Source organism: Homo sapiens, chromosome 8 (genome assembly GCF_000001405.40).
Source record: "Homo sapiens chromosome 8, GRCh38.p14 Primary Assembly".
NCBI lineage: Eukaryota > Metazoa > Chordata > Mammalia > Primates > Hominidae > Homo > Homo sapiens.
Window position 1 is genome coordinate 138,752,477 of NC_000008.11, and position 13,848 is coordinate 138,766,324.

Below are 13,848 nucleotides of genomic sequence, written 5' to 3' on the forward strand. Positions count from 1 at the left end.
CTGCAGTAATTAAAGGTGTGGATCTCTCTTCCTAACAAGGAGATTCTGTTGAGCTCAGGACACACAGAAAGAGAAGGCCCTAAAGGCATGAGATTTTTAAGCGTCAAGAAATAGCTGGCATTGATCTACATCTCTGGCCCTTTAGTGACTCCATGAGACATTGGTAAAACTATCAAAGCCTGTTTCATCTTAGGGAATGGATGAAAGATGCCAGCATTTGGATGCAGAATGCTGAACACTGTTTCCATTTCGAGAATGGGATATATTTTCCTCTCTCTGGGATTGCTGAACACAAACTCAAAATTTTCCATTCTCAACAGAAGTCACTGAAGCCAGCTTCTCAATTCAATTCAACCCAATGAATATTTAGAAAGTAACTGCTCTGCAGAAGGCCCCGAGCTAGGTGCTGCTGCGGATTCAAAAGCAGAGAGAAGTGACAGTTGATATCAGCATTGGGCTCAGTCAGGCTCCATGGGGCTCTGCCTCAGAGAGCAGCTCATTTAACCTCATAGTATGTTTACATAGGAGAAGATGCTGCTGCGGTAGATTTCCAAGTTAGGGGTGAATCGAATGAGGATCAGAGATTAAGCAATGTCACCAAAGCCACAAAATTACTTGGTGGACAAATTGGGCCATGAAATCAGGTGCTCTGGTTCCTAATCCCAAGTACCTTCCATGACCCTATTTCTGTAGCTCATGCTGCAGACAGGTTCACTTTACTGGCCCTCTTGAACACCTGCCGCAGGGCTAGCTCTACAAGCGTGTGTTAAGTTCCCACCATGTGATAAACCCTGTGGATTGAGAGACGGGAGAGATGTTGGTCCTCGACTAAAGAATCTTATAGTCTTGGGCCTCTCATTACTGTTCTTCTCTTAATAAGGCCTTTAGTTAGGCTGTTTGCTTTTTGAACACTCCGAAGGGAATCTTATCACTAACATCATGTATTGTACTAAATCCCATTCTGTCTAGGCTAGAAGACATCTTCAGAACCACGGGGAACCCCGTGGGGCATCAGGCTAAGATATCCTGAATTTTGAAAGTAGGTAGATTCAAGACCATCCGCATGTCCTGTCTAATGGACCCTAGAAATGGTACGTGCAGGGGATTCCAATTCATCATCTAGAAATTGCAAATGTTTGCTTGCAGTTATTTCTTTTTTCACATAGCTGCTTCTTCAGACTCTGAGGGTGCCTCATGTGTTATTTCATCCCTATATCTTCAGCCTTAGTATTTTGCTTGATATAAGGTAGGTGGTCACAAACGTTTGAGGTTTCTTCCTTCTCTCCCTCCCTCATTTACTGTAACAAAATCTAGGTAAAGGGTGAGGACTACCCATATATTTTCATCTCAGGAAGAGGCCAAGAAGTTTGCCTCATGATTAAGCAGAGCTAGCTATCTTTAGCTTCTTCTTCTGTAATGGGGACCATGAAGTAAAGTAATTCCCCTTTACGGAGCTCAGAGGAAGGATTGTATACTCCGTGGTGAAAACAGGAGAGGCTGCACAGTCAGATCTAGGTTCAAGTTCAGTTCTGCTTCTCAAGAGCTATGTGACTTTGTGCAAACCACTCAATGTCTCTGCACTAATGTTTTCATTGGTAAAAGATGAAAAATAACATCTTCACCCTTGCAGACTTAATATGCATATATTTGCACAAGAAAACATATATAGTATAGACCTTCAATACTTGCCAATAATAGATCTGAAATATACATGTATGTATGCATAGAAAGGTAAATATTGGAACACACTGCATTCTCTGCATTATCTAGTTTAAATCTCTCAACAGTTACAATTGTGGGCAGCTCTGGAAACCGAACCTGGAGAGGTCACAGAGACATAAGTTAGATTTTCTGATCCAAAATCTTTGATATAAAATTGTTCTAATTTTCCTAGAATTAAACATCCCTTAAGTTTCTTCTAGTTTTACCCCAGCAAAAACATATAAATATATCCTCATAAAGAGTGGGCCTCAATAGCTTAAAATAAATCTGATCTATGTTCATTTATAAGTCAGTTATTTTATTCCTTTCAATAAAATACAGTAACTTGAAAGCAACAGCAGCACATTGCCAGAAGAAGCAACTTTAAAGCAGGGACCCTGTGGAGGGTACTGTATTCTTACTAATTATTCTCGATATCTGAACTCACATCATAAGATAATCACAAGGGCCCTTTGGATGGCCGCTTCCCAACTGGTGATTTACATATCATTAAATTCTTAGCAGGGGGAGAAACCAGAGGCTGAAACGTCCCAGGCCACTGCAAAGTCAGAACTGACCAGAAACATGGGAAAAGTGAGTGCGTTGGAAGTGATTCAGTCGGCATGTAAGTGTCCAATGTTTTTATTCTACTTTATCTGAATGGAAAATAAAACATCAAACTGAATCCCCAGAAACCCCCATCATGGCCCGCTGGGGACTGGGGGCTCTGAAGGCAGGGTGCCCACACTTCAATCCCATTCCACACATGGCAGCTGCCTGACGTGGAGAGAGTTATCCCACCTCTTCCAGGCTCAGTTTTTCCTACGTGAGACGTGACCACAACAGCACAACCCACTCAGGTGATGTGAAGGCGCTTGAGATAATGCCATGCTCAGCGCCGGGAATGACTCTGATCTTCCAAACCCATTGGTAAGAGAAGCGTGCAGAGCAAACCCTGCGCAGGAGAGGGACAACTTACCCGAGCTCCTGGAGGACCGGGGGCGCCTTGGTGACCTCTGGGTCCTGGAGCTCCCTGGTAACACAAGCCAAACAGATGTTTAGTCATGACTTTTCCCCCATATGATCAGGCCCACCATCACCCATGGCCCTCTCCTGACTCAAAGTTTACTTTCCAAGTTCTCGATAGGGAGTAGAGGTATGGGAGTGGGTATTTGCATTTCTGGCAGAAAGGCAACTGAAGTCTGAAAGGCTCCATCTGAGTTCAGCCTGAGATCATGGTTGTGGCTTTTCTGTTTCTGCTGTGACCTAAATCCCCATGAGAAGAAGACGCGTGTGCCTCTTACCTGTTCCCCTTTCAAGCCCTCTTGCTGCACCTGAGAGACAAAGCAAGCATTAGCAAAGGTGCTGGCATTTCCGCAACCACAGTCAACCTCTCTCAGCTGCACTAAGGCCATTCATTCACAGGCCATGCTGTCATGTCGTGCCTCCTGACTTTTCTCTGATTCTGCCCCATTTTTAGTGTTGAAAGCCTTCTATCCAACCCATGTCCTTGGAAGAGCGTTGCCTTATTCTTAGAGGTGAAGACTCATCCAACCACCCAATCCCACCAGCACCTGCATCCATGATTCCAACCACTGCTGACTCACCACTGAGCCTGGTACACCAGGTGGCCCCGCAGGTCCCACGTCACCCTGCACAGAAACGACAAACATTTCAGCATAGTTACTGGTGCCACCTTCTGTGGCAGTCCCATCCCTCTGAGGCTTATTCTTGTGGGCCCAGGGGACCACACCCCTCCCTGTGCACCACCACACATATCTTCGTCTTGCCCGAGCCTGCTGTCTTCTGAAATTCTCAAAGTTCGGGTTCTGATCCTCATCTCTGCCTCAGATCATAGGCTTCTTGCTGGCAGGAGTCTTATTTTCTATTTTGTGCACATCCAATCTAGTGCCTAGATTTGGGTCATGTTCCATGAACACCTCAGGGCCCTCACCAGCCTCTGCGGCTTGAGAGCAGCCTCATTGAGCCCCTGCCTGCGCCAGCCACTGTCTTTGCACTGTGAGAGCTGTGATGATATATTTTGGCAGGTCTCTTATGCCAGGTTCATAGCTCCGCACACAGTCAGCATTCAATAAGTATTTATCAAATAAGTAACTAAAAATGTGGCACTGCTTCTCATCCATTTTCATTAAGTCACTTTATACACAAGGTTTGTCTCCTGCCTCCTCCTCCTTGGCCTCCAGGTCCCCTGGGCTATGACGGCTGTGGCCTGACCGGATGTTCCAGCGTGTGCGCTACAACTTGGTCCTAAATGAAGCATATTTATCAATTTTGATCACAGAAAAATCTTTAGTATTATTTCTATGGTGCCTTATGGCTAAAGCAAGGAAAATACATATAGTCAATGTTTCCACACATGACGTAGGGACATAACTTTTCCTTTTACCTAGAGCTTAGCTCAGGGAGCATGGGAAACACTTAAAACCTGTTGTTAATGAAGCTAGTAAATGAATAAATGAATCACCAATTAAAGCTGAAGGCATCTATTAGGTCTTAAGGCTAAGGGGGAAGAGTGAATGGCTCAAGACACACGCTCACTGCCTTGGGGATTCTATTCTATGGACAGAAAATGTTTCCTCTGAGACCAAAATGGATACATTTACAATGTATCTTCCAATGCCCTGTCTCCCATCCCTGCCCGAGACCTGGAAAAATCACCTCACTTTTCACAGCATCAAGTGTTTTTCTAAAAATCCCGATCCATCATGTTTTATGTCAAAAACCTTGAGTGCCAGTTTTCTTCATTGTACCTTCCTGTTTTTCACACAGAGAAATCGAGTCCTGCCTCAGAAACGCTTCTCTATTCTGTTTTATTCTCTCCATGCTGCCAGTACCCCTGCACACACGTGCACACACACGAGCACATATTCTCACACACATGTGCTTGCACACACACTGCATTCACCACTCTATAGCCCCTGCAGGCACTTCCAGGACATGAGAACATGAAGATCTCCATACACTCAGATCCCAGCGCGGATATCAAGTCACTTCTTCACGAACATCCTTCAACATCTCCAAACAGAGTCAGATTTCCCCTAGACTCCCACAAACCTTATTCATATCTTGGTAATACAGGATTGTTAGAAGACATTCTGAGCTATACTATGTGTGTGTGTATGTGTGTGTGGAGGGAGAGAGAGAACGGCTGAATAATGAATCTTTTGAGGTTCAAAATCATGTCTTTTTTATGACTACTTTGTGTCAACTGTCACATTCCCTTCTGTTGGTTTCATTGTTGTATTTCTCATAATATTATTATTATATTACACCACAAAAGTGAGTTTCCAATAACAGTTATGAAATCAATCAATCAACACATGTTTTAATTACTCTCAACTCACCATATAAGGGCCAATGTTCCAACAAATTTGGTAGGAAAACTAAGACCCTCGTATCCATCCCTAACAACTGTGTGTATACAGCTAACAGTTATTGGAGAGACTCTGCCTTGCAGGCTTTTCTTCAGGGACTGGACATGGATTCACTCTCGTTCCCTATGATACTATCTTTCCTGTCTTAAAGATGAGGAAACTGGGGCACAGATACACCGAGTAACTTGTCCAAGGTCAGAAGTCTAGTACATAATAGGACCAAAAGTCTTTCCTAGAATCAATTTCTTCCCACAATATGGGTGACACATTTTTGTAAAGATCAGTTGTGGCCACTGTGGTGGCCCGTCTCCACGACGGTCCCCCGTAGTCCCTGCTTCCTGCATGCAACCCTGTGTGGGGACCTCCCACACCATCCCCGTTCCTCTATGTGACTAACAGAAACAGCAGACGTGCTGGGAGGTGACTTCCAAGATTCGGTGATAAAAATGACTGTGGCTTCCATCTCAGACTCCCTCCTTTCCCCCAACCTTGAACCAGTCACTGCTCACTTTTGGGGAGCAATTTCCCTTTCTGTGCACAGTACCATGGAGAAGCCCATGTAAAAGGGAAGTAAACATCTCTGGCCAACAGCTGTCAAGAAACTCAGGCCTACCAGTGATGACATGAGTGAGCCTGGAAGTAGATTCTCCAGCACCAGTGGACCCTTGAGATAACTATTAATGTGTCCCCACTGACAGCTTGTCTGCCTCTCAGGAGAGATCGTGAAGCAGAACAATCCAGCCATGCCATTCCCAGATTCCTGCCCTCAGAATCGTGTGAGATCATACATGATTGTTTCCAACTACTAAGTTTCAGGATGATTTATTATACAGCGGTAGGTAACTAGTGCAACCATAGACCCAATCCAGTAAAATCATTAAAAGGGCATAAAAATGCATCACCTGATATTTAGATCTGCAGTAAATCATCGAATGGACAGGCAGATAATATGATAGGCCTTGGTCAATAATCAGATTCACTTTGGGGCTTGGGCAAGAAATTGTAATTGTCTAGACTTCGGTCTATTATCTGTAAAATGAAGCAGTTTAAAAAGACCGTCTCTGCAGTTCCAGTGACTTTCCCAAATTGTGTAGCATCTAAGATTTGTCTCAAGGATGTGATCTCAGAATGAGATGAGAGGCATCATATCACCTGAGCTTCACTGGTTTCTTAATTATTTTAATGAAAACCCCAAAATCATGCCATGGTCCTTGACCTTCTCCTCCCATTTCTGCTGCATTTATCATAATAAGAAATAATAACTCAGCAGTTTCCCAAATATGAAGGGCCAAACCCAATCTCTAAATAAGGTGGAAGGTTGAAACTTATAACACCCACACATAGGCGGCAGCAAGAAATAGAGTCATCACCTAGATCCAGACTTCAAGGCTCATTCCCTCTTTGTGACTTGAAATAAACTGCTTATTTTAGGACTTAGCATCCCCTGTCAAGGAACTGCAAGAATATATTAAAATCCTGACACCTGGATAATATAACAATATACATCTCAACTCTAAAAATACTTAGAAGGAGAGAGAATAATGAACTCGGCTAGCACTGAAGCCCGAGTGAGCGAGTTTGGAAGACATTAACTTTCTCCAGCCCCCATCCTAAGCTGAGGTCTGTGTCAGCCCGTACTATTTATTTATTTATAACAGATACCTTGTCTGCTTCCATAAGGAGTTGGAGCAGCCTTCTCCCATATTTAGAGCATATGCTGGAAACCAGTCTGAGTCAGACAATGACCTTCACCTGAACTCTGCGGTGAGCCGCTCTGAGAAGAAGCGATGCTGATCGGGTCTCAGCCGTCTGAGCTGAGCTGGATGTCTCCCGTCTCAGCCCCTTCTCTCTCCCCAGTTATTCTCCAACCCAATGTCTGATGCCTTCCTAAGGGCCTGTCTAGGAACCTGGAAGAATGTCATCCTCTTGCACTTGAGCTCAGGCTATGTCTCGTCACCCCTCCTATGCCAATCCAGAATACAACATCACACCTTCTCTTTTTCCTTCTTCGTGACCCTCAATGCTTAGGAAGGCTATTTTCATGGACATTTTTGTAGGCCCTTCACATTTTGCAAAGAATGTCTACCTGCCACTGTTGCATCTGAGATGCAGAAATTCTTAGCAGCAAATTTACTTCATTAAACCTGGAAGATATTCTAAAATAGATGACCAATAAAGTAAGATACAACCCTTATTTTGTTTTTCAAATACCTAGGGCATTTTCAGGATTCTGATTCTGATTTTTAAAAATTGCAAAATGTAGTAGAGAAGGAGAAAAGAAGAGGAAGAGAAAAGGAAAAAGTTTTTGTAAGATTTTTTAATATTTATTTATAGCCTTCCTTATTCCAAAAAGCACTGTAATGCTTTTTTACATTTTAATACATCTAAATATTATATAACAGAACTTTATATAAATATTATATATTATATAACAGAACTTTCTTTGCTTTTCAAATGTATGTTTATTCCTAAAAGTAGAAAAAAAATTCAATATGATAGCCAGAAATGTCTTATGTGAGTTCCTGATGCCCCAGCCACCACCCTTTGTGTGTGCTTTGTTCCCAGAGTTGCCACCCAGGCCCCTTCCCTGAGCCTGGTTTGCCAAGGCGGGCAGTCCCCGCACCTGCCTGCCCAGGGCACAGAGCCCTTGACAGCCCCAGGCTCGCTCACCTTTTCTCCCTGGGGTCCTGCCACACCAGAAGGGCCGGGCCTGCCCTGGAGGAAAGAAAGAAAAGGCAGATTATGATGGGCACTACGGATACGGTGGTGGGGTGTTGGGGAGAAACAGGTTGAAAGACAGCTGCCCACTGTGGCTAGACTTTTCTTCAGAAGCCAAAGTCCCTTTAGACCTGACTTTCTGGACTGTGCTTATTGCTAGAAAGTTCTTCCTCAACTAACCTAAGCTCCCTATCTCCATGCTTTCTCATCTGCAGTTGCGCTGGTTCTGCAGCATGGATAACACATTCTGAGAAAACAAAGGACCCCTTCCTTAGGGATATGAGGGCCTGGGCAAGAGGAAGAAGAAGCACATAACCAGGACCTGCCCCGGCCCAGGGAGCATAGAAGGTGGAGTCTGGTGGAGTTGAAGGAAATCCTTAGAGCTGAGGACTGGTGAGGCACCAGGGAAGAGGGAAGAGCTGCCCAGACTCTGGCCAGGATTAGTTAGGGCCACAGGGAAATCAAAGTCCCAGAAGTCTGGTGCAGAGGATGCTGAAGACTTGTCCCTCCTGCTCTTCAATGTCCCTGCTGGGAAGCTTTCCACCAGCGGCCAAGAGAACGCCTGAGCTTCCCCAGCTCCTGCAGGAGCAGGGCGTGGGAGCAGCCCAGGAGCCACAGCACAGAGCACAGGGTAGTCCTCAGCCAGCGTCCTCACAGACCCCAGGGAGGGCCTGGAGGGCAGCTGCACAATCAATCTCCATCCATGGACAGAGGGCTTTGTATAGGAAAAGATCCTAAGGACATAGACATGCGTTCAAGGATGCATGCAAAGCACCCTCACTTCCTCTGTACTCTGAACAGCAAAGATCTGTAACCCCACTGCCTGGCTTCCCCTGCACCCTGAGACCCTCGCCGGCCAGCCCACACCACCAGCACTAGGTCTGTGTGCTGGGTTATTGTTTTTTGCACACTCATCCATGGGAAGGATTCCTTTCCCTCTTTGCCATCACCAAGCGGGTATTTCCAGTGACAAGAGCCAGGCCTGGCAACCAGGCACTGCACGATGGATATTTTTAAGCAAGTCAATAAATCGTGGTACATTCATACCATAGACCATTAACTGGTCATTTGAGTCAGGCCTTTGGTGAATATTTTTTTAAATGGTTCCACGTTTATGATACAATGTTGAAGGAAGAAAAGCAAGATATAAAAAGTATGATTCCAATGTGTTACCTGACAATAAATACAAATCCAGATATTTGTGGGAGATGGAATGAACTATAAGTTTAATTTATATTAATATAGTATATTAGAATATTTATTGTAATTCATTGACATTTAATATAATTAACATATATATTTTATCTATGGTTTCATTTTTATATCAATAAATATATTAATTGATGTATATGTTAAATTATGCTATGCAACATAGTATTTTACTAATTGGCTTTAATATGAATGTATGATTTTAGGTTTTATTTCATTTTAGTTTTTAAATTTAAATATGTAAATGTAGTTTCTTTTGGAATAGATGATGCGTTCACATGGTTCAAAACTGAAGTGCATAAACATTTAAAGTCCCCTTCTGGGGGCAACCAAGCAGCAAGGTTATCATCGTCTTATGTCTTCTTCTAGCGACGGTCTTTGTAAGTCACCAGATGCATTTTCCCCCGACACCATTCCCAACACTTTTCTTTATTTTCCACTGAACCACATGTCTTGCAGACCCCTCACATCAGTGCATCCAGAGTTTCTTCATGAATGTCCTCAGCCTCATAGCACTCTCTGTGTCGATGCCTCCTGATTTATTTAACTAGCTTTGTACTGAGGAGCACTGGGGCTGTCTTGAATCCTTCCCTCTGGGGACAAGACGGCAATGAGCGCTGCTTACACACATCACCTTGAAAACGTGCGCGTGGTCAGAGGCCTTTACATTATGATAACGCACCACCTTACCTGATGTAAAATGGATTTCAAGTGGGATCCCTCCAGCTCTGGGGTTCGCAGAGTCAACCTACAGCCACACAGCCGGGGTCTGGTCCTAAGCCTCCTGCAGCCTCCAGCTGAGCAAGGAGGAGGCCCAGGTGCTGAGGCTCTGTGGAGCTTTATGTGGGGTCTGGTCATTCCCATCCTCTGACCGCTGATGAAACCTAGCCCAACAGCGCCAGCACCCACCTACCTGCTGTCCTGTGTCCCCAGGCTTCCCAGGGAATCCATCCAGGCCTCGCTCTCCCTGGCAAAAGAAGGCAAATGGTGAAATAAAGAGGTTAGTGACCACAGGCAGCAGCCCAGCACACATCCCCACAGTGACCGTCATGGACAAGGAGGGTGGGGAAAAGGTGCCAAACGCACGTGCACACACACACACACACACACAACAGCCCTAGACGGGATGTGTCTTGGAGGACAAGGAACATAGGTCTAGGGTCAGAACAACTAGAGTCATCCCTCTGCTTTTCACTTTTCAAATCTGTGGCCAAGAGATGGCCATGTGCCTTCTGTGAGCCACACAGTCTCTTCATCTCACGGTTCATGGGGGTCAAACAAAGCCATGGGTGAGTGGGGTCTGTAATGCAGTTCATAAAATTGCAGGTGTATTTTATGCATCATTCATTTGTCCCGTAAACACGTGTGAACATGCACCACATCCCCAGCACTCAACATAGACTTCAGAGTGAACTGCTGGCTAGCGGTAAGCCACCATCTGCGCATTCATCTGTTTACATTCAGACGGAGCTGACTGAGTGTCTTACTAGCTGTGGGATCTTGGGCAGTCACTTCACCTCTCTGAGAGTGTTTTGATTACCCTGGGGATGATAATAACCCCTTCCTCAAAAGATAGCTATGACTCCCAAAAAAAAGAAAACAAAAGCCTGGGCGTGGTGGCTCACACCTGTCATCCCAGCACTTTGGGGGGCTGAGGCGGGTGAATCACCTGAGGTCAAGAGTTATAGACCAGCCTGGCCAACATGGTGAAACCCCATCTCTACCAAAAATACAAAAATTAGCCGGGTGTGGTGGCGTGTGCCTGTAGTCCCAACTACTTGGGAGGCTGAGGCACGAGAATGGCTTGTACCCAGGAGACAGTGGCTGCAGCAAGTTGAGGTCATGCCACTGCTCTCCAGCCCGGGCGACAGAGTGAGACTCTGTCTCCAAAAAAAAAGAAAAAGAAAAAGATCCCTATGAGCAAGTCCACTGAAAACCTTCCTGCTGAGGATAGGTAGTGAGTCAGTGCCATCGTCTTCCCCTAGCTGTGCCCTGGTTTTCTTGAGCCAACTCCCAGGTGCTGGTGTGTTCAAGTCCTGGGCTAACTCAGGCCTGGTGTTCCCAGTGGGGGTCCTTCTTCCAGGTGGGCTGCAAGAACTCCGTGGGGCAGACACTCCAAATGGTGGGTTCAGGCTCATCTGAACAGTCTCCCACCTGCACCCCAGCAGCTGCGGCTTCCTTCATCAGGCTCCTCAGACACAGCCACTTTGTTCCGGCTTCTGCCTTCCCTGCCTCCTATTCCCTCCGCTGCCTCCCCTGCACCCTTCGGGGCTCAGATTCAGTGTCCCCTCCTGACCTTTTCATCTAAATGAGAGACTCTCTTCGGCTGCAGCATGGTCTCATTTTCTTCTCCCTCATCTCCCTTAATTCAATTTTCATCTATTATCCCTGTACACGCACCTCCCCAGTCACACGAGGACAGGAGGTGCGTTCACTCTTGGTTCTTCCGTTCCTGGAGCCTCAGTGTGGGCCCCGCTGACATTTACTGAATGACTGGAAGATTATATATACAAATTATGTTGAACTCTCCTTCTATTTCTTTATAACCTCATTTCCCAAGTCGTGATTTCTTTGCTGCTTTTTCCGTTTGAGGTTGGTTCCTCTCTTTCAGGATGTTGTTTTTCTTCCAGGGGTTGCAGGTTCTTGGTTTTCAGCTCATGGCTGCTGTGCTCGCTGTGGGTGCCTGCCCACCAGTGGACAATGATTCTATTCACTGCCGCTCCCTCTGGGGATGGCAGGGCAGGGGGAACCTCCCGTGGGTGGGATGCAGAGGAAGGTTTTCTTCCTTGTGTGGCTGCTCCTATCTCTCCCCGGGCTTGCTGGCTACCTGCGGAGTGGGTCTCTCCTTTCATCTGGAAACAAATACTGAGGCTTCCTACTGCCCAGGATGGGCAGGGAATGGGGCAGGGGCTGCCTGACTCTGCGTCTCCAAGTGCAGGAAACCAGTGAATCACTGACGCCTGCCTCAGGGTCCCCCCATTCCCCATACCCACTGATGTGAACGTAGGGGTGTCCCAACCCTCTCTGGGCTCTGCAGTTTGGTTTGCAGGCCCCTGGCCTTGCTTCTACATAAACTTAATCCTACATGTTTTCTATCTTTCAGAAATTATTTTAAAATTCCAGAACATTGATGTACACTTGTATTTTCAATCACAATTATACACTAATCTTTTAAAAAGGCTTTCCCAGTGGCTCATGCCTGTAATCCCAGCACTTTGGGAGGCTGAGGCAGGCAAATCACCTGAGGTCAGGAGTTCAAGACCACCCTGGCCAACATGGTGAAACCCCATCTCTACTGAAAAATACAAAAACATTAGCCAGGCATGGTGGTGGGCACCTGTAGTCCCTGCTACTCAGGAGGCAGGAGAATGGCATGAACCTGGGAGGCAGAGGTTGCAGTGAGCCGAGATCGTGCCACTGCACTCCAGCCTGGGCGACAGAGTGAGACTCTGTCTCAAAACAAAATAAAAGTAATAAAAATAAAAAGTCTTTGCATCACGTGACACTTGGGGCGAATGGTGAGTGGAGCTGCCTGGGTTTCGTCTCTGCCAAGTGATTCCACATCTATCACTATATCCTCTCCTCCAAACTTGGCAAGGTTGGCAGGCCCAAGCACCAACAAGAAATGAGGAAACTGAGGCCGGAGGAGGTGAAGCCACTTCACCCCAGCTGGGTGTGCTGGCACTGGCGCCAGAACCGGCCCTCCTGTCCTTTCGTCCTTGGTCTCTTTCTACTGCCTTGGAGGGGGAGGGTCGGAGCAGAGTCCCTGGAGGGACTGCGGGGCCTGGGCTGGTGAGTGGACAAGGGTCTTTGAGCCCATGGACTCTCACCCTCTACCTCTAGATGAGGAAACTGGGAGCCCTAGGGTGCACCTTGTCCAAAGGCACATAGAAACTTAGCGGTGGTACCAGGACTCAAATCGAGGTCTCCTGATTTCCAGTCCTGAGTGCACTTCCTTGTGACAGGCCACCCTACTAAAGATCACTGTAAGGAACATGGCTGTGCTTTGGTCAAGGAATAGGCTGAGGCGGACATCCGGGCCTGAGTGACTCAGTGAGTTTGGAACGCAGGCGCACAATTCCATGTATAATGGAAACATAGCTATGGAGCCACAACATGGGAAGGCCATCCCTTGGCCCTAGGCCACTATTGTCTGTAAAAGGTATAATTGCCCTGTTGACACTGTGCAGGTGTGGTCACGCCCAGAGAAAGAGAGAGAGCCAAAGCTGTCTGTCTTGCAGACGGCGGGGAGGCAGGACCCAGCTCAGCTTCCTTGTGCCCAGAGAGAGAAAGAGTGAAGCTGCTGACCCTGAAGGCAGGGAGAGCCGGCTGCACAGCTGTGTGTCCTCTCAGCAGAGAGGAGCCACCAGGCTAAGCAGCCAAGACCGAGCAGACAGTGTGAGAGTAAGCTGCTGATGGGAGAACAGTGTAAGAGAGCTAGTGTGAGTGAGCTGCTGATGAGACAGCTGCTGAGTAGAACCACATTTCACCTGCCCTATGGCCCCCTGAGTGTTCTTTCAGCCATCTGCTCATCCACCCACTCCCCTCAGACTTCAGCAAGGGCTGGACCCTAAATCCGAGTGTGACATTTGGCATAGATGTGGACCTGACAATCACCCTGGAACCTGACTCTCCCAGAGACCTCAGAGCAAGGCCAAGTGTGCCTGTTGCCCAAGTCCCTGTTTCTTACTTCCCTGCACTTGCACACCAAGATGAGTGGAGTCTGGAGCCAAGAGTTCCTCTGACTGCAGCTTAGGACAGCTGCAGGTGCACAGAGAGGGCCTGGCTGGACCTGGGGGCAGCAGTCTGCACTGCTGGCCGGCAT

The 13,848-nt window shown here is 46.7% G+C and overlaps 1 protein-coding gene across 13 annotated transcripts in view; it reads right to left on the reverse strand.

Annotated features, from left to right (window-relative positions):
• Positions 1 to 13,848, reverse strand: part of COL22A1 (collagen type XXII alpha 1 chain) — a 325,807-nt gene that overhangs the window by 164,242 nt on the left and 147,717 nt on the right. For all 13 annotated transcript variants that reach the window (XR_001745487.2, XM_017013150.3, XM_011516886.4 and 10 more), the window contains 5 exons: positions 9,937 to 9,990; positions 7,767 to 7,811; positions 3,309 to 3,353; positions 3,006 to 3,035; positions 2,681 to 2,734 (listed from right to left, as the gene is read on the reverse strand). Coding sequence is in view for 12 of the 13 variants with exons in the window: in XM_017013150.3 (XP_016868639.1) it covers positions 2,681 to 2,734; positions 3,006 to 3,035; positions 3,309 to 3,353; positions 7,767 to 7,811; positions 9,937 to 9,990 (228 nt within the window). In the remaining variant the exon portion in view is untranslated. The remainder of the gene's footprint in view (positions 1 to 2,680; positions 2,735 to 3,005; positions 3,036 to 3,308; positions 3,354 to 7,766; positions 7,812 to 9,936; positions 9,991 to 13,848) is intronic.